The sequence below is a fragment of the Homo sapiens genome, chromosome 17 (assembly GCF_000001405.40).
Source record: "Homo sapiens chromosome 17, GRCh38.p14 Primary Assembly".
Lineage (NCBI taxonomy): Eukaryota > Metazoa > Chordata > Mammalia > Primates > Hominidae > Homo > Homo sapiens.
Window position 1 is genome coordinate 12,771,212 of NC_000017.11, and position 20,822 is coordinate 12,792,033.

The window sequence follows — 20,822 nt, forward strand, 5'->3', positions numbered from 1 at the left end:
TTACAGGCGTGAGCCACCGTGCCCAGCCTAATGACCTCATTTTAACTTGATTACCTCCGTAAAGGCCCAGCTCCAAGTAAGCTCACATTCTGAGGTGCTGAGGGTTAGGACTTCAATGTAGGAATTTTGAGGGAACACAATTCAACCCATAATAGGGGGCAAGATGGGGGCCAGACCATGAAGGGACTCATAAGACACATTGAGGAGTCTAGACTTGTTTTGAAGACAGCGGGGCATCACTGGAGAGTTTTAAGCAAGACAGTGCTGTCATAACCCTTTCACCTTAGAAAGATGATTCCAGCTACAGGGTGGATTGGAGTGTCAAGGACACGGGAAGGGCAGCATAGTACATTTGTGTGAATTCATCTGATAAATTGCTGTACCCTCCTTATTCTACAGACATGAGAAATGATGAGTAACCCGACATATCGAATTTAGGACATAAAGAATGATGGGGTGGCCAAGTGGGGTGGCTCATGCCTGTAATCCCAGCACTTTGGGAGGTCGAGGCGGGGGGATCACCTGAGGTCATGAGTTCGAGACCAGCCTGGCCAACATGGTGAACTCTCATCTCTACTAAAAATGCAAAAATTAGCCGGGCTTGGTGGCACATGCCTGTAGTCCCAGCTACATGGGAGGCTGAGGTAGGAGAATCTCTTGAACCTGGGAAGCAGAGGTTGCAGTGAGCCAAGATCACGCCACTGCACTCCAGCCTGGGTGACAGAGCAAGACTCAGTCTCAAAAAAAGAATGATGGGGTTTGGGAGGCAGGCAAAAGTAAAGGTAGCAACTTAGCTCATGGCAATAACCCAGCCAAAGGGCAGATGGTGGTGGAAATGGAGAGACAAAGGTAGGTTTGAAACATGTTAATAGAATGGAAAATACGGGACTTGATCATTGGATGTGGATGGTAAAGGAGAGAGAGGTTCTGGATTTGGAGGAGGAAGAGCTCAATTTTGAGTGTATGTTAGTGCCATTCACAGAAGTAAAGACCAGGATGAGGAAGAGTTACTTGATAGGAAAAATAATGAATTTGATTTTTGATCAGTTGGTGTCTGAGGGACACTCAAGCCAAAAGTCTTCACTAGAGAGGTCTGGAGCTCAGAGTGCCTTCAATGGAGATATAGATATGAAAGGGGTCAGCATTCAGATGTTAACTGAAATCATGAGAATAGCTATGACCTATACAGTATGTGGAGTGAGAATAAAAGAGGATCCTGAGGAATGCCAACATTTAAGGTATCGGCAAAGGAGAATGAGAGGGAGTGGCTAGAAAACCAGGAGGGGCTGGTATTCCCAGCACTAAGGCTGGAGAAAATTCCAGAAAAGAGGGGGGTCTTTAATTCCTTCTAATGCTACTGTGTTCCACTAAGATAAGGAATGAAAAGTGTTCATTTGATTTAATAATAAGAAGGTGGTTTATAATCAAGGTGAGAGCAATTTGGATGTAGTGGCGAGGCCAGGTGGGTACAAACTGAGGAATTAAAAGGAGATCAGTAAGTGGAGACAGTGAATCCAGGTGTTTCTCTCAAGAAGTGTGGCAATGTAAGAAGAAGACACACAAGACCATAGCAGACAGTCAGACATTTAAAGGACTGATTTTCAAGAGGAGAGAGATATGAGCTGATTTCAAAGCTAATGAGAATTAGGTAGTATAAGATAGAGAAAAGGGGGCAGATAATGAGATCCAGGTTAGGTTGCCTTTGGGACGTTGAGGCAGGAGAGAAAGAGGAGGGTGGGTGGAGATGCAGGTCTGTGTGCAGGTCATACAGGTGTGGTGGGAGGACAATGAGGAAATTTTCAGGGGATGGCTTCCATCTGATACTTGAAACAAGATGGAGAGATAATACTCACCTATGGGGCAGAAGATGAATGAAGTGGGAGTTTTAATAAAAATGGATAATGTCTGAATTAAGAGCTGTGGAGAATGGGAGAGAGAACTGATTGGGAGACATAGAAGGATACCTGGGAAGAGTTGGAAAACTTGACTGGAGATCATGCCTTCTGCACAATGGTAGGACTTTTCATCAACAGCATCAACCACCCAAAAGTGGAAGCAGAGAAGGCAGAGAGGCAGGTTGAGCCAAGTTGAGGGTGCTTTAGAAATGGGTATGAAAGCAAGAAAACAGAAACAGGGGCTCAGGATATGACTATAGAGGAAGTAAAATAGTGAACTACGGAATATGCAAAGTATTATGCTAAAAGTGAAGATAGGAGTCAGAAAGTGGTACAATCAAAAATTAGAAGTGGACTAAGTATTGATGCAAAACTACTAATCATGTAATTATATTGCCATCATTGTGATCATAATGTAAATGGGTACCCATGTTCACAGTTTAGTAGGAATGATAAGGACTGAAAAGTGTTCATTTTATTTAATAACAAGAAGATTGCAGGTAACAATTGCCTGACCTCAGGTGATTCTCCTCAGCCTCCCAAAGTGAAACCCTGTCTCTACTAAAAATACAAAAAATTAGCCGGGTGCAGTGGTGCACACCTGTAATCCCAGCCACTCGGGAGGCTGAGGCAGGAGAATCGCTTGCACCTGGGAGGCGGAGGTTGCAGTGAGCCGAGATCGTGACACTGTACTCCAGCCTGGCAACAGAGAGAGACTCCATCTCAAAAAAAAAAAAAAAAAAAGGTATAAAAACAACAGATGCTGGTGAGGCTGCAGAGAAAAGGGAACACATACAGTGTTGGTGGGAATGTACATTAGTTCAGCCACTGTGGGAAACAGTTTGGATATTTCTCAAAGGACTTAAGATAGAACTACCACTCGATCCAGCAATCCCATTACTGGGTATATATCCAAAGCAAAAAAAATTGTTCTATCAGAATGACATGAACTTGTATGTTCATCGCAGCATGAACAGTAGCAAAGACATGAAATCAGCCTTGGTGCCCATCAACAATGGATTGGATAAAGCAAGTGTGGTACATATGTACCATGGAATACTACACAGCCATAAAAAAGAATGAAATCATGTCCTTTGCAGCAACATGGATGCAGCTGGAGGCCATTATCCTAAGTGAATTAAGGCAGAAACAGAAAACCAGATACTGCACGTTCTCACTTATAAGTGGGAGCTAAACATTGGGTACTCACAGCTATAAATATGACAACAGTAGACAATGGGGACTATGAAAAGGGTGAGGGAGGGAGCTTTTCAAGGCTTGAAAAACTGCCTATTGGGTATTATGCTCAGTACCTGGGTGATGGGATCAATCGTACCCAAAACCTCAGCATTACACAATATACTTATGTAGCAAACCTGCACATATATTCCTTGAACCTAAAATAAAAGATGAAAGTACAGAAAACATAAAAAGCCACGAAGGAGTCAAAAGTACTCCCACTAGAGGAATTCACATGTGTGAGGACTTACAGGCAAAATAAATAAGTTGCATTGCAAAAAGCTGGGTGAATTTCAGAACAGTTGGAACAGAGGACAGTCGCACAGCTAGGGTGGAGGGAGGGGAAGACCGGGAAGAACTGCTGGAATATCCAGACAGAAGGCCAGAGTGATGGCCACAAAAGTGGAGGAAGCTGGCTGGGCATGGTGGCTCATGCCTGTAATCACAACACTTTGGGAGGCTGAGGCGGGTGGATCACCTGAGGTTGGGAGTTCAAGACCAGCCTGACCAACATGTAGAAACCCCATCTCGACTAAAAATACAAAATTAGCCAGGCGTGGTGCTGTATACCTGTAATCCCAGCTACTGGGGAGGCTGAGGCAGGAGAATCGCTTGAACCCAGGAGGCGGAGGTTGCAGTGAGCCGAGATTGCGCTATTGTACTCCAGCCTGGGCAACAACAGCGAAATTCTGTCTCAAAAAAAAAAGGGTGGGGGGGAGGGGAGGAAGCTGGGCAGATCCAGCAAATATTCATAAGTATTAGTAGAAATAAAAGGACTTAGAAATTGATGGAATAGAAAAGGTGGGATGAGAAGAGAGGAGAGAAAGGGAAGATTCAAGAGTAATTCTTGTCTATCTTTACTTCTGTAGCCCTGCCTTTACCACAGTGCCTTCCCAACTGTGAATACTCAATCAAGATTAAACAGAATACATAACATTCTCTTAAAATTATTCTTCTGGCCTCTACATCTGCGTGTTGTCACCTGAGATTCTGATGATCAACCAACAGATAACTCCCCTTGCTCCTCTACTTCCTAGGTATTTTTAATTTTTGCACCTGGCACCCACCCTACCTCTACCGTCAAAACCCCAAAGAGAAGAAATATATCTAAGGTTAACATGCAAGCAATGCATGGACTGTTACAATGGAAAGGGCTCTGCTAGGTCCAGGCAGGCAGGCAGAGAGACAGACCTGACCTAGCTTGGAGGTTTGCTCCACTGCAATAGGGGGTTTTCTGGGAACCCAAGCATCTTGGAGAGGTGCAAATGAGTTGCTTATCATCTAGAGTGGCATGGAAGCTGTAGAATTTTCTCCTAGCAGTTATAAGAAGTAGGCATTGGAGTTAGGTGGAAGAGAGATAGGCTCATGAAAAAACCTTGTGGTCTGTAATGAGGGTATATTCAACAGTGACCTAAACTGACATCCAGAAATTGGATGCATACAGGCTTCTGAGCAGATGATGGCAAATAAGAATAATAACCCAGGGCTGAAGCTCAACAACCTCTCCTCCACCCTCCAGTCATGGTACTACATATGGCACACCCTCTTCCCCTGAGAAAAACGAGTGCCAACACAGGAAAAAGGAGATAACTTCAATGCCTAAAATTGTTTCTGCTACTCCATAGAGTGAGTCTGAAAATGCAAAGTCTGGTCATGGAAAATACACCTGAGTTTGTGAATTGGAATCCGAAGCTACTACCCTTTTCTCATTCCTAATGTTGCATATCTATGTTTTCTCTCTTGGACTCGTCATATATTTCTTTTATTGTTTTATCATAACAGTAATTTTTATATTTATTAATCAATTTTTGTTTTTATCCTTATTCTTCTACTACCTTTATGAATGTATTCATCCATGTTGCTTAATATTGATTTTCTTTTCTTCTTTTTTTTTTGAGATGGAGTTTGGCTCTTGTTGCCCAGGCTAGAGTGCAATAGGGCTATCTGGGCTCACTGCAACCTCCACCTCCCGGGTTCAAGCAATTCTCCAGCCTCAGCCTCCCGAGTAGCTGGGATTACGGTCATGCGCCACCATGCCCAGCTAATTTTTGTATTTTTAGTAAAGACGGGGTTTCTCCATGTTGGTCAGGCTGGTCTCAAACTCCTGACTTCAAGTGATCCACCTGCCTCGGCCTCCCAAAGTACTGGGATTACAGGCATGAACCACCACCACCAGCTGTTATTGATTTTCTATTTTTCCTCATTTTGGGCTTTTTGAGATAAAAGCATAATTTGTTTCTTTCTTTCTGATAACATTAAAAATATTTATCTATGAATTTCTTTTGAGTGCAGTTTTGAGGTGAAACTATGGGTGTTTATGCAATATTTACATAGTAGTATGTTTCTATATATTCTGTAATTACATTCTTGATTTCCTTTTTGATCTAAGAGATAACTTAGAAGTCTGCCTTATAATTTCCAAGTGTTTAAGCTTCTGTTAATTTATATATAAACATTAATTTTTAAAATATGATACAGAGAAGTGCCCTATCATAAGTGTAGAGCTTGATAAATTTTTATAAAATGAGTATTCTCAATATAACCACCACTTAAATCAAGAAATTGGACATTTCTGTTAGCAGAACTGTAGAAGTCCTCCGTGTGCCACCTCCCCAGTACTACAGCACTGTTTCCCAGCTCCCCCAAGATAAATTCCATACTGACTTCTATTACCATTGATTCACTTTGCTTGTTTTTAAACTTGATGTAAGTGAAATCATACAGTATATACTGTTCTGGATCTGGTGTTTTTGCTCAGCTTCCATTGTGAGATTCATCCATATTTTCATCCACTGTTAGGTGAAGCATGAATACCTTCCTTTTTCTTTCCATGTATACACCACCTTTGTATGATTATGAATTCATACAATTCATTGTATTGTATGAATACACCACCTTTTTATTTATCCACTGTGTTGTCAATGGGGACTTCAAGTGGTTCCAATTTTTGACTATTACAAATGTTGCCAATACAAACATTCTAGTGCGTGCCTTTTGTGGTAAATACGTCCACATTTCTGTTGAACAAGTGAAATTGCTGGGTCATGAAGTGTACATACTGCTTAGCCTTAGTGCATACTGCAAACACAGCTCTCTAAAGTACTGTACTGGTTTCCCTCCCACCAAAATGCATTATATGACAGTCCCACTGGCTCTGCATCCTCACCAACACTGGTTTAGCCAGTCTCTTTTCATTTTAGCTCTTCCACGGGTGTGTGGTGGTATTTCATTGTCATATCAATGGCATATATTGGATGATTAACAAGGTTGAGCATCTTTTCGTGCTCTTGGGCCATTTGGGTAGTCTCTGTAGTAAAGTGACTATTCAAATCTCTTGATCTCTTGTCAGTTTCTCCTGAAGGTTTCTTCCTTTTTCCCATTGATTTGTAGGATTCTTTTCTTTCTTTCTTTCTTTTTGAGATGGGGTCTTGCTCTGTCACCCGGGCTGGAGTGCAGTGGTGCAATCTTGGCTCACTGCAACCTCCATCTCCAGGGTTCAAGCGATTCTCCTGCCTCAACCCCCAGAGTAGATGGGATTACAGGCGCCCAGCACCATGCCCAGCTAAATTTTTTTTTATTTTTAGTAGAGACGGGGGTTTTACCACGTTGGCCAGGCTGGTCTTGAACTCCTGACCTCAGGCGATCCACCCGCCTCAGCCTCCCAAAGGGCTGGGATTACAGGCATGAGCCACCGCTCCCAGCCCCGGAGTCTATATGTGTATATACACACACACACACATGCACACGCATACACACACACACAAATACACGCACACATGTATACACGTATATATACACACACACATCTATCTATCTATCTATCTATCTATCTATCTATCTATCTATCTATCATCTATCTATCATCTATCTATCATCTATCATCTATCATCTATTTTTCTTTGAGACAGGGTCTCATACTGTTGCTCTGTTGCCCAGGTTGGAGTGCAGTGGCCTGATCTCGGCTTACTGCAGCTTTGACTCCCTGGGCTCAGGTGATTCTCCTACCTCAGCCTCCCGGGTAGCTGGGACTACAGGCAAGCGCCACCAGGCTTGGCTAATTTTTGTTTTTTTTTCAGTAGAGATGTTGCCTGGGCTGGTCTTGAACTCCTGGGCTCAAGTGATCTGCCCGCCTCGGCTTCCCAAAGTGCCGAGATTACAGGCATGAGCCACCATACCCATCCGGATTATTTATATACTTTGGAGTTGAGTTCTCTCTCTCCCTGTTTTATGAAGGTTGAATGTATTGCAAATAATTCGTCTCACTGTGATGATTTCTTTTTCATTCTGTTTTTTATTTTTTGAGACAGGGCCTCACTCTGTTGCCAAGGCTGAAGTTCAGTGGCGCAATCTTGGCTCAATTCAGCCTCCACCATCCCAGGCTCAAGTGATCCTCCCATCTCAGCCTTCAGAGTAGCTGAGACTACAGGCACTGCCACCAGGTCTGGCTAATTATTGATTTTTTTTTTTTTTTTTTTTTTGTAGAAATGGAGTTTCGGAGTTGCCCAGGCTAGTCTCGAACTCTGGAGCTCAAGTGATCCTCCCGCCTCAGCCTTTCAAAGTGCTGGGATAACAGGCGTGTACCATGGGGCTTGGCCTTTTTCATTCTCTTAATGGTGTCATCAGATGAACCATTAAGAACCAAAGTTCTTAATTGTTAAGTAGTCCAATTTGCCAATATTTCCTTTAAGATTAGAATATTTGTTGTCATGTTTAAGAAATCATTGTCTACCACAAGATCATGAAGAAATTTTTCTCCTGTTTTTTATTTTGATTTTTATTTCTTTTGAAAAACAATAATTTTTGAGGTTTTTTTTCCAGAAAAAAATGGGTAGTTGATAAACCTTTTCAGTCATTACATGTCTCAAAGTGACTTCCTTTTGCCCTCGTTTGTGAATGTTAGGCCAGATGTAGACTTTTGAGTTGCATTTGAGTTATGACCTATTTTCATGGGTGCCCTGTAATCTTGTTCCAAATTTTATTGGCATTGAGCATTGCAGATGTGAAGCATGAGGCAAACCAGCTTCTCTTTTTGGAGAAAAACTTCTTTTTTTCTGGTGTGTGTGTGTGTGTGTCTGTCTTCGAAATTCAGAAATTTAATCAAGATATGTCTAGGGATTTTGTTTTTCCTGTGCAGTAATATTTTCTAGCACTTAGTGAATTATTTTAATTTTGACTTGGGCCTTTCTTCAGCTCTGCAAAATGTTTTTTTGTTTATTTGTTTGTTTGTTTGTTTCTTTGAGATGGAGTTTCGCTCTTATTGCCCAGGCTGTAGTGCAAAAGCGCGATCTCGGCTCACCACAACCTCTGCCTCCCAAGTGGCTGGGATTACAGGCATGTGCCACCACACCTGGCTAATTTTGTATTTTTAGTAGAGACGGGGGTTTCTCCAAGTTGGTCAGGCTGGTCTCGAACTCCTAACCTCAGGTGATCTGCCCACCTTGGCCTCCCAAAGTGCTGGAATTACAGGCATGAGCCACCGCCCGGCCTTTTTTAGTATTTTTTATGCTTATTTCTTCTTCATCATCTGCTCTGCAAATTCTATTACATATTTGTTTGAATGTTTTGAAAAAAGATACCGTGTCTATTTTTCCTTTCCTCACCATTTCATTGCATTACATACTTTTTCCCTCTGAATTTTGGGATCATTCTTCCAGCCCATCTTCTAATGCAGTAATTCCATTTTGGGCAGTGCCAGATCTGCTATTTCCTGCCTCTATGGAGTTTCATTAGTTTGGAAGTCATGTGTTTCTTATCCAAGAACTCTTTTTTGTTTAATGTGGCTCTTCTTCATGGCAACCAGCTCTTGTTATATTAAAGCAGCGTTCTCTCAGTTCTCACTAAGAATACAAATTAGAGTGAAAAAATATATTTCCCTTACTTCTTGCATAACTTTCACTAGAAGCTATTTTCTCTGGATTCTCAGATTAGTCTCCCTGTTTTATGGAGGTAATAGCCTATAATAAAGGCACAGGCATTTGAACTAGAAAAACCCAGGTTTGAATCCTAGTTCTGACACTTGAATGGCAGTTCACCTAAACCCTCTGAGCTTGGTTTATTTGATAGGTATAGTCAAACCCTCATCGAAGAGTTCTTCTAAGGATTAAATAAGATAATGTATCTCATAGCACTTACAGTAGTACTTGGCTATATAGTTTATTATTATTACCTTCTTCCTTCTCATCACTATTACATTGAAATGCTGTCTTTTTTCTGCTTGTCAGTCTCACATAGAGAGGTCTGGTTAGTTTAGACTTGGTAGCTGAGTTGGACAGAAAGGCGTCAGGTCAGAAATGATGCAGATCTTACTTTAATTTGCCCCAAAAGTTACTACACGTAGTAAATCTACCTGGCCACGACTCCCTCACTCAGAAATCACCTGTACCATTTTTTGACAAGATTGTGAATGGGACCTTTCTCAAATTTCCATGAGTGACACAGAATTGCTCTATTATGTTTGCTGAGTTATTTCGAATGGATATTGGAGGGAGAAATGGGTCAAAACTACTGGCTTTTGTTAACATTTTGTTACCAGAAGTTGAATGTAAAGTTTACTAAGAATAAAGAAAGTTAACACATAAATGTTTTAGGTAAAAATATAGTAAATATTTCTATCCTTTGGGGATAAGGGAGACTTTCTAAGCATTAAACCAAAGGCATAAAACATAAAGGAAAAGATTGATGGATCTGACCACATTAAAAATGTAGAATTTTGGCTGGGCATGGTGGCTCATGCCTGTAATCCCAGCACTTTGGGAGGCCGAGGTGGGTGGATCACCTGAGGTCAGGAGTTCGAGAGCAGCCTGACCAACATGCTGAAACCTTGTCTCTACTAAAAATACAAAATTAGCCAGGTGTCGTGGCTCATGCCTGTAATCCCAACTACTTGGGAGGCTGAGGCAGGAGAATCGCTTGAGCCCGGGAGATGGAGGTTGCAGTGAGCCGAAATTGTACTATTGCACTCCAACCTGGGCAACAAGGGTGAAACTCCATCTCAGAAAAAAAAAAAAAGTAGAATTCCTGGAAGATAAAAATCAGCATTACAGATGTTGAAAAGGAAAGGCCAAACTAGAGAAAACATTTGCCACAAGATACAATAGCATTAGTATAATTAATATGACTAAAAAGCTTTTATTTCTTTTTTTTTTTTTTGAGATGGAGTCTCGCTCTGTTGCCCAGGTTGGAGTTCAGTGGCGCAATCTTGGCTCACTGCAATCTCTGCCTCCTGGGTTCACGCCATTCTCCTGACTCAGCCTCCTGAGTAGCTGGGACTACAGGCGCCCGCCACCACGCCTGGCTAATTTTTTTGTATTTTTAGTAGAGACGGGGTTTCACCGTGTTAGCCAGGATGGTCTCAGTCTCCTGACCTCATGATCTGCCTGCCTCAGCCTCCCAAAGTGCTGGGATTACAGGCGTGAGCCATTGCACCCGGCTGACGAAAAACCTTTTAAAAATTGATAAGAAAATGTAGACCTATAACAGAAAAATGGGCTAAGGACATGAAGAATTAATTAACCAAAGAAGAAATACTAATGGCCATGAAACATGCGGGAAAATGTTTAATGTGGTAAAAAGAAATGCAAATTGAAACAGCATAATAATGCTATTTCTCATCTATTCATCTGGCAGGATTATTAAGAGTGGTAATACTCAGCATAGGTTAGGGTATGGAGAAAATGGCATATTTACACGCTGTAGTTGGGACTGCAAAAATTTCCATTATTTATCTACAGGATAATTTGGCAATACATATAAAAAGCTTTAAAACATGCCACATTTCAATGCAGAAATTTTAATTATTTGATTTTGATCTTAAGTAAATATATGCAATAAGTTTTAACCATTAACATGTTGATCACAGAGATATTTAGAATAACAGAAGATAAGAAAGAAGATATTGTCCTAACAACAGTCTGATCCTGTTTTTGAAACATGTTTATAAATTCCCAGTGTTATCTTGATTAGTAAGAATATGGGCATTTTTCACTTTTTAAATGGATCTGAGTTTTCCAATTTTTTTCCTCAATAACATTAAAATGTGTAACATGTTTATATATAAACACATATACTGTTGGACTTTATTTACTAACATTTTATTAATAATTTTTATATCTATTCTTTTTTTTTTTTTCCCGAGACAGAGTCTCGCTTTGTTGCTAGGCTGGAGTGCAGTGGTGCAATCTCGGCTCACTGCAACTTCTGCCTCCCGGGTTCCAGCAATTCTCCTGCCTCAGCCTCCCAAGTAGCTGGAAATACAGGCATGTGCCACCACACCCGGCTAATTGTGTACTTTATTAGTAGAGATGGGGTTTCTCCATGTTGGGCAGGCTGGTCTCGAACTCCTGACCTCAGGTGATCCACCCGCCTTGGCATCCCAAAGTGCTGGGATTACAGGTGTGAGCCACCACGGCTGGCCTGTATCTATTCTTGTAGTCGATATTGGTTTGTTGTTTTGGTGTCTGTGCCATCTTCATCAGGTTTGATAACAGAGTTAAGGCAATTTCATAAAGTGAATTTGGATGCTTTCATTTTGTTTCTGTGCTCTGAAACACTTTAAATAGCAGAAGAATTATCTGTTCTTTGAAGCTTTGAAAGTGCTCCCCATAAAACCATATGGACCTGGCTACTTTGGGGAGTGTCGTTCCTTGAAAAGTTTTCCAAGTTTTTCCCTGATCCTGGTCCCCTCATGCTTCCTACCTATTTTTGAAAAACCTGTAGCAGGCTGGGCACGGTGGCTCATGCCTGTAATCTCAGCACTTTGGGAGGCAGAGGTGGGCGGATCACCTGAGGTCAGGAGTTTGAAAAGAGCCTGGCCAACATGGTGAAACTCCATCTTTACTAAAAATACAAAAGTTACCTGAGCGTGGTGGTAGGCGCCTGTAATTCCAGCTACTCAGGGAGGCTGAGGCACGAGAATAGCTTGAACCCAGGAGGTGGAGGTTGCAGTGAGCCGAGATTGCGCCACTGCACTCCAGCCTGGGAGACAGAGCAAGACTCCATCTCAAAAAACAAACAAAACAAAAAACAAAAAAAAAAAAAAGAAAAAGAAGAGAAACACTTGTAGCAGTTCATATTCTCCAAGCAAATTAAGAGCTTCCTTTAAAATAAGTAAACATAAGGTTGCAAAAGTATTCTTACACTTTTTTTTGCTTCTGTGATTAAATCCTTTTTCTTGTTTCTAAAGTTGTGTGTTTTTCTTCTTTTTGCCTTTCTATCTATTCATTTTATCTATCTCTTTGAAACACCCAGTCCTGAAATTAATGGATCAATTACACCCTTAATTTATTCTAAGGTCTGCATTGGGTCTGCTGTACAAGTGTTCCTCTGGAACCCAGGAGAGAAGACAAGCAACTATCGGGGGAAAGTTTTTTCTTATGGCAGTGGTAAATGTGCCAGAAGACCAGAGGAAAATGTACAAAGCCTCTTAATGCACAGCTTGGAAGTGGCATACATCACTTCCACCCACAGGCCGTTAGCCAAAGAAGTCTCTTGGTCAAGTCCTAAGTTATTAAGTGGGAAAATACACTCTGCCTATGATGAGACGATGCAAAGGTATATTAAGGGAAGGCTGAAAATTGGAGTTAATGGCATCTATTAATACCATGCCCAAAGATGGGAACATCTATCATCCTATTTAAAAAATATTTTGGACTAACAGATATACTTTAATGGTGCAAGTCAAGTTTGATACCTGCAAGTATAAAGGTGATTGGAATCTGTAATATCCTTCAGTTGTATTGTAGCACTGAATGTTGTTTTGACATATCAAATACTGTAAGGCATAGGTGTATCTTCTCCAACAGCAATTTATTGAGCAAATAGACTGGCCAGTTAATTCCCCAAAACATATTACTTAGAGATTTTTTACTATAAACCCCCATATAGTAGATAAGAAAAGAGTGTCCTGGAGAAGTCCAGCAAGATGATTGGCCATAATTATAATGAGCTCGAGCTTCCTGTTCTGCTTTCTCTCTTCTGTGGACCCTACACAGTCATATGATGTATAGGATGTTTCAGTCAACAAAGAACCGCATATACAACAGTGGTCCCATAAGGTTATAACACTGTATTTTTACTGTACTTTTTCTATGTTTAGATGTGTTCAGATAACACAAACCCTTACCATTGTGTTACAATTGCCTACACTATTCAGTACAGTGACATGCTATACAGGTTTGTAGCCTAGGAGCAGTAGGCTATACCCTATAACCTAGGCATGCAGTAGGCTATACAATCTAGGTCTGTGTAAGTACTTTCTTTTTTTTTTTGAAACGGAGTCTCGCTCTGTCACCTAGGCTGGAGTGCAGTGGCACGATCTCGGCTCACTGCAAACTCCGCCTCCTGGGTTCAAGTGATTCTCCTACCTCAGCCTCCCGAGTAGCTGGGATTACAGATGCCCACCACCACACCTAGCTAAATTTTGTATTTCTAGTAGAGACGGGTTTTCACCACATTGGCCAGGCTGGTTTCGAACTCCTGGCCTCAGGTGATCCACCTGCCTTGGCCTCCCAAAGTGCTGGAATTACAGGCGTGAGCCACCACGCCTGGCTGTGTAAGTACTTTCTATGATGTTTTTGCAACAACAAAATCACCTAATAATGTATTTCTCAGAACATATCCCTGTCATTAAGTGACACATGAGGTTATTCTGAATTCTGTTCTGTAGACCAGCCCTGTCCAATGGAGCTTTCTATGATGATGAAAATGTTATTTTACATTCTCTACTACGGCAGCCACTAGCCACATGTAGTTATTGGGCACTTGAAATGAAAAACTGAAATTTTTGTTTTATTTAACCTAATTTAAAATAATATTTAAGTAACCACATGTAGCTAATGATTCCCATGTTGGCCAGGTGGCTCTAGTGAATGCTTGCTCTCAGAGTAGAGGTTAAAACCATTCTAATTCAGGGGATTCTAAATGGAGTATCAGATTTCTAAGGGAACATATCTCAGACAAATAGTACTACAATGTTGCTGAAGCAAGTAAGAAGCCCATATATTGTTGACCAAAGCAAGTGACAAGGTCAAAGTCAAGGTCAACAGGAGCAGGGAAGTGTAATCTTCCCATAGGTCAAAGCTAGGTATATAAGACATAGAAATTTCTTTCTTCTTTTCTCCTCTTCTTTCCCCTTCCCACCGTCCTTCCTCACCTCCTCCTCTTCTTTTGCAAATACATTTAAATTTTATATTAAGTCTATTCTTCTAGGTGGCAAAAATTAAGTTTTAGGCAATTCCATCTCCATCTTGGCCAATGCTGCCTCCTCCTCCTGATCATCATCTTTGATCTCAATAGCTTTCACATCCAGCTGTTTCAGGTACATTTGTGTATCCTCACAGCACACATGCAGACACCAAATCATCGCACATGGCTTGGGTGCAGGGAGCTCTGGGGCTGCCACTAGCCTGTGGTATGGGTACCTGAGGCACTTCATATAGATGTCTTACTGGTCCTCTGTCTTAGAAGGCAGAGGATCTCCACAAGCTTGGCCATGCCTAGCCTTCACTCCAGGAGTGGTGTACAGCTTCTCCACTGTGCTCAGATGCCCCAAAACGATATGATATATCTGTCTTCAGTCTGCCTGCCCCCAACCTAATTGTTGACCATGGGTAAAAGCAAGGTGCATGCTACTTTCTCAGAGAAACCCACTGTAGCAGTCAGCTTAGACTCAATTATGTTACAGCAACAAACCTCTGATTTAAAACAGCAAAGATACCTTTTGCTGGGGGGCCACATCACTGTTCCACAGCATCCCCTAACTGGTTCATTGGCAGCGTTAAGAAGAAGAGGGCAGGATCACAAAATGACTCCTGAAACTTCTGCCCTCAGAAGAAGCGTAAAAGTCACCTCTGTGCATATTCATTGTTCAAAGAAAATCACATGACCGATCTTTACCTCAACAGTAAGGTAAAATAGAGTCCTTCCCATAGGGATTGGCAGTGAAATTTTTTGGGCATTAATAGTATCTGCACAAGCATCATCTACTTTTCTTCTCTCTTTCTCTCCCGCTTTCCAGTCCCCATCACCATCTTCAACATCTCACAGCCTGTAGGTTCTTTATTTAGACTAAGCAGGATGATATATGCTTTATAATCTACTATTTCTGACATAGACTATTAAAGCTCCAAAGCCTGTATTCTGGAAACTCAAAACTCTTTTCTTGAAGAACTCTATTCTGTCACATGTGTTTCTGAAGCTCTTGTTTCTGCACTATTATCCCTTCCCCGGGGTAGAAAGCAGAAAATGTACTAGCTGCTTCCTGAGTGAAGGAAGCATTCAAAGGAAGACAGAAAATCTGTGGAGAAGCCACCAGTTAATAAAACATTATTGGACCACACTCTGGCAGGGGAGGCTGCCAAAGGGATTTCCCTTTGGAACGGAAAAATCTTGGGATTGAAGGCAGGGGCTGGCATGATATTGGAGTTGGCTACCAGAGTTCTTGAGGATTAGTGCTAACAAGTAGAACTTTCTGAGAGGATAGTAATGTTCTTTATCTGTGCTGTCCAGTACAGTAGCCTTTAGCCACATGTGGCTCTTAAGTACTTCGAATGTGACTTGGGTGACCGAGGAACTAAATTCTGTTTTTATTTTATTTTATTTTTTATTAAACTTTAAGTTCTGGGATATGTGTGCAGAACGTGCAGGTTTGTTACATAGGTATACACGTGCCATGGTGGTTTGCTGCACCCATTAACCCATCATCTATATTAGGTATTTCTCCTAATGCTATCCCTCCCCTTGCCCCTACCCGCGACAGGCCCCGGTGTGTGATGTTCCCCTCCCTGTGTCCATGTTTTCTCTTTGTTCAACCCCCACTTATGAGTGAGAACATGCGGTGTTTGGTTTTCTGTTCCTGTGTTAGTTTGCTGAGAATGATGGTTTACAGCTTCATCCATGTCCCTGCAAAGGACATGAACTCATCCTTTTTAATGGCTGTATCCATGTCCCTGCAAAGGACATGAACTCACCCTTTTTTATGGCTGCATGGTATTCCATGGTGAAAATGTGCCACATTTTTTTTTATCCAGTCTATCATTGATGGGCATTAGGATTGTTTCCAAGTCTTTGCTATTGTGAACAGTGCCACAATAAACATACATGTGCATGTGTCTTTATAGCAGAATGATTTATAATCCTTTGGGTATATACCCAGTAATGGGATTGCTGGGTCAAATGGTATTTCTAGTTCTAGATCCTTGAAGAATTGCCACACTGTTTTCCACAATGGTTGAAGTAATTTACAATCCCACCAACAGTGCAAAAGTGAGGAACCAAATTTTGAACTTTAATTAACTTAAATTGCAACAACCACATGTGGCTAGGGGATACTATATTCAACAGTGCAGTTCTGGAAGTTACCAGAGATAGTGTTGCTAAAAGTCATACAGTGACCTTAATGTCTTACCGTTTATACACATAAAAAGCATGTTGTACTTTGCTTTTTAAAAAATCTCAAAATGGAAATAATTTCACTTAATATAGACATCATATTGACATTATAGGTACAGCATAGTTGGTTAAAAGCAAATAATGCCTTCATTTATTCACTGGCTGGAGTTGTCTGACCTAATAAGCAGAGGCTAAATTCACAATTAATTAAAGATTTCATGTTCATTCAGCCAAGACATGCCTCAAACCACTTTTTGTTCAGCTAGCCAGCAAGATACTTAGAGCCATATTTAGGACATCTTGCAACTATAATCAACATATGCAAAATATCCTATTTCAAAGAAGATCCTTCCTTTATAAGATTAGTAATTCTGTTGTATGAACAGGATTTTTCTCTATTATGCTAAATATAATCATTTTGTAGTAAATGAATACGGCAATGTACTATATGAAAATTTATATGTAATTTGATTATTGTAATTTAACAAATAGTTCTCTTACTGAAGATCAGGCAGCATATTTTTCTATTTAGGGATGAGGAAACAGAGGTTTGGAGAGGTTAAGCTGTTTTCCTAAGGTTATATAACAGGTATGTGGAATTCTGATGCAGGAACTCCTATCTGTTTAATCCAAAGTGCCTCACACCCAACAATACTGCTTTTACTTGATATATAATGATAAAACCTTGATATATAATGATAAAACCTAACTGCAATCACCAATCTTTTTCTTTTTTTTCTTTTCTTTTTTTTTTGTTTTTTGAGATGGAGTCTAGCTCTGTCACCCAGGCTGGCGTGCAATGGCGCGATCTCCACTCACTGCAACCTCCACCTCCCAGGTTCAAGCTATTCTCCTGCCTCAGCCTCCCAAGTAGCTGGGATTACAGGTGCCCGCCACCACGCCCAGCTAATTTTTGTATTTTTAGCAGAGACAGGGTTTCACTGTGTTGGCCAGGCTGGTGTCGAACTCCTGACCTCGTGATCCACCCTCCTTGGCCTCCCAAACTGTTGGGATTACAAGCGTGAGCCACCGCGCCCGGCTCACCTATCTTTTTCTAAGGATAGAGACCAAAGAAGCCACAACCCCTTCCAAGGAGTCAACTGACGCCAATGGGATGCTGTGGTGCAGGACACTTGGGGGGTGCTGCAGCTGATGCCCCTTGGTCTCCTGGTGGTGGAAGGGAAATGGGACTAGATACGAGATTGGCATCTAAGCCATACAAAAAAGCTGTCTCAGACAGGTTGGGCCAGTAAGCACAACGTCACTTATCTATATTGGCTTCTGGTTACCTAATGGGTTTGGTTTGGTAAAAATTAAGAATCAGACTTCTGGGATGCAAGCTATGCCTGTTCAAAATCTGCTGTCAGCCCCTGTGTTTCAAGCTTAACCTTGAACCTCATCATTAATCAGGTGACCTTAGACCGTTTTATCAGCCACGTATCTGCTAGCATAAATCTCCCTTCTGTGAATTCAGAACACTGATACCTCACATTCACTAAAAATACAATGAGAGACAGATGCTCACTTTCTTTATTTGCTGTTGTATTCTTGGTCCCACTTTGCCATTTTTAAAACAGGAAAACGTTTCCCTTACTCGAACGCTAAAGTGCAAAGCTGCTGGTGACGCTGCCTTCTCCCACCTCCGCACTCCACTGTCCTTGCAAACTTTGGACAGAGGAAAGGTGGGCACGGGGCGCGAAACTACAAGTCCCGGCATGCACGGCGTTCTCCGCACAGGCGCACGGGGACCGCCGGGCCAGCCGGCCAGCCAGCCTGCGGAGACTCCCGGGTCCCCGCGCCGGACTGGGACTGGGAGCAGGCAGCCCGGGCGGAGCGGGCCGGTGCCGAGGACGGCCCCAGGCATTGCTCTGCCCCGGGCATTGCGCGGCGCGCGTGAGGGGGATGCGGCAGGAGGCGGCGCGGCGGGAGGAGTAGGCGGCGGCGCCCTCGGGAGGGAGCTGCGCGCGGGCCAGACGGCGCCCGGAGGCTCCGCAGTGCCGCCGCCGTCGCCCGGGAGGCTCCGCGCGGGAGCCATGTAACCCTGCGGCGGGCTCCGGGCTGCTCCGTCCTTCCCCAGCTCCCGGGCTAGCGCGGCAGCGGGGCCACGATGAAGAAGCAGTTCAATCGCATGCGCCAGCTGGCCAACCAGACGGTGGGCAGGTAGGTCACCCGCGGGCACCGCTGTCGGTGCGCGCCCGCGAGGCTGCATCCGCAGGGGCGCGCAGGTGATGGAGCCCGCCCAGCCTCCAGTCCTCCTTGCCTCAGTCCTTTCCCCTGCACCAGCTCCCTCCAGGCGCCGCTCGCAGGCGCGACCCCTCCTCCCTAACTTCCCAGACCCCGGAGCTCTTCTCACTCGCCGCCTTCTGCTCCGGGCTCCGGTTGCCAAGCGCAAAGTGTGACGCATCCTTTACCTGCGTCCCCGGCTGCCCCTTCGCTTCGTCCTCCCTGCCTTTCCCCGGGACTCCCTTCTCCCTCTGGCCGCCTGTCTTCCTGGAAACAGGTGTTTGCTCTGATTGTGCTGGAGGCAGCCGAACCGCAGTCGGTCTCCGGAGATCTCTTCCCTCCCCTCCCCTGCGCCGAGTTCAGGGCTGCTCCCGGGTCCAGGGAAAGTGCTGGGCCTGGTCGGCCTGCCCCTCCCGCCGTGTTTGTTTTCAGGGACTATGACTGTACGAGATTCTGGATCACTTTCCTGGCCGGGTTTCTTAAGGCGTTTGGTGGGGGGAAAGGGTGAGGGGTGGGAGAGGAAGGAAGGTGCTGGTGGAATGGCGTTGCTGCCTGCTTGATGTTAGGACTGATTTCAGTGGAGGGAGGGAGGCTGCAAAAAGGAGGCCCAAGTCCTCGGGAAGATGAGATAAGCAGAGAATCGCAGCCAGGTAGGGGAGGGGGACAGAGGCCCCACAGTCAGAAGAGTCAGGCCCCGGGAAGCTGCAAGACCCCGCCTGCTGCCATCACGGTGAAAATGGGCTACATCTGGACTCCAGGAGCGGCTCTGCAGGGTGCCAACATCTATTAAGGTTACATAAAAATCCTGGTGGGTCGCTCCCAAGACTAGACATTCTTTGAACACAGGAGCGTTAGGTAGAAGGGATTTTTCCTGGAACCCCTACTCCTGGGGAGGGATTTCCGTTGCTGCTGTGGCAAAGGAATTCAGGTGTGCTGTTCTAAAGCAATCAGAAAGCAAAGAATCCAGCCTTGGGTGCAGTTCAAATGCAAGCTCAACACCTCGAGGGCTCTCCACTAGGTTTACGGAGAAACCGAATACCTTTCTTGGGTGGGAAGTGGAGCCTGAACTGGCATCTGGTAGGATGGGGGTGGGGACATCCCTGGGGAATAGGGGACATCTGAACTCCCGTCTGAGCATACTGCCCTAGTTACAGTGGGCATTTGAGGGCAGGGGATGCGGTGGCTTCTTATGCTTCCAGGGACTCCAGATGGTTTCCAAGTAACAATGTCTAAAATTGACTTGGATTCATTTTTCCTTCCCAAACACATGTGCTTTAACATGAGGGGGAATTTATGAATAGCAGAGTCAGATTAGCCCAGATTTCTGGCATGGTATTGCCACAGATATAGCCTCACGTGGACTGCCTTTTGATGTGTTGGATGCCGAGATAGTGTTTCCTGGTATTCGTTGTTTAGCAGATGACAGTCAAGCCGACCCGTCTTTAATGTCTTGGCTTCTTCGTCACCCTGCAGGCGGGCATTGGCCATCACCTCAGACCAGCCAAGTGACCAGGAGGCCCCTGACACTAGACTTGGGTTGCTGGTTTCTCTTGGTCTTGGGGTTTCAGTGCCGTGCTAGAATCTAAATGTTCAGAACATGTTTATGCCTCCTCCCTGGCCTTCCTGAAACACAATTCTTCTTTTTTTCAGGACCTGTTTTTAAATGGGGGAGATTTTTGCGCCATGGCATCATATCTTATTTTTCAGCCTCATCCATGGGGGGAATGCAAAATGGTGAGGGGAGGTTGGATTTCAGAAAAAGTGGTCTTAGGTATTGAGAGCACGTTCTTGGAAGTCCAAGCAGCTGGTTACCAAGAGGTTCTTTCCTCTTCTTTGTTGGGGCTCTGGTGGATGTTGGCCTATGGATGAATTCTGCCTTTCTCCGTTGGTAGCCATTGTGTTGTGCACTGGGCCAGGTGAGGGCCAGCCTGTATCGCTTTTGATGAAATCCAGAGCAAGCCTTTTAAAGCAAAAACCAGTTCATGTTACCTTGCTGCTGAAAAGCTTCCAGCGACATCTGATTGTGCTTAGCATCTCATATCTTGCCAGGGTTCTACAGGACCATCCTTGGTTGGCCTT

At 43.5% G+C, this 20,822-nt stretch overlaps 1 protein-coding gene and 1 long non-coding RNA gene across 10 annotated transcripts in view, besides 1 other annotated feature; one reads left to right on the top strand and one right to left on the bottom strand.

The window, feature by feature from the left end:
* The window catches only part of ARHGAP44-AS1 (ARHGAP44 and MYOCD antisense RNA 1), a 30,151-nt gene extending 11,078 nt beyond the window's left edge, over window positions 1-19,073 (bottom strand). The window contains exon 1 of the long non-coding RNA NR_104607.1: window positions 18,932-19,073. This is a non-coding gene — a long non-coding RNA (ARHGAP44 and MYOCD antisense RNA 1). The remainder of the gene's footprint in view (window positions 1-18,931) is intronic.
* Window positions 18,214-18,563: a silencer, noted in NCBI's record as "silent region_8206". NCBI's record gives its function as "represses an Ori minimal core promoter by ATAC-STARR-seq in GM12878 lymphoblastoid cells {active_cell/tissue: GM12878}" and the evidence as "EXISTENCE:reporter gene assay evidence [ECO:0000049][PMID:35858748]".
* The window catches only part of ARHGAP44 (Rho GTPase activating protein 44), a 202,146-nt gene continuing 199,610 nt past the window's right edge, over window positions 18,287-20,822 (top strand). For all 9 annotated transcript variants that reach the window (NR_135569.2, NM_001321167.2, NM_014859.6 and 6 more), the window contains exon 1: window positions 18,287-18,680. Coding sequence is in view for 7 of the 9 variants with exons in the window: in NM_001321167.2 (NP_001308096.1) it covers window positions 18,628-18,680 (53 nt within the window). In the remaining 2 variants the exon portion in view is untranslated. The remainder of the gene's footprint in view (window positions 18,681-20,822) is intronic.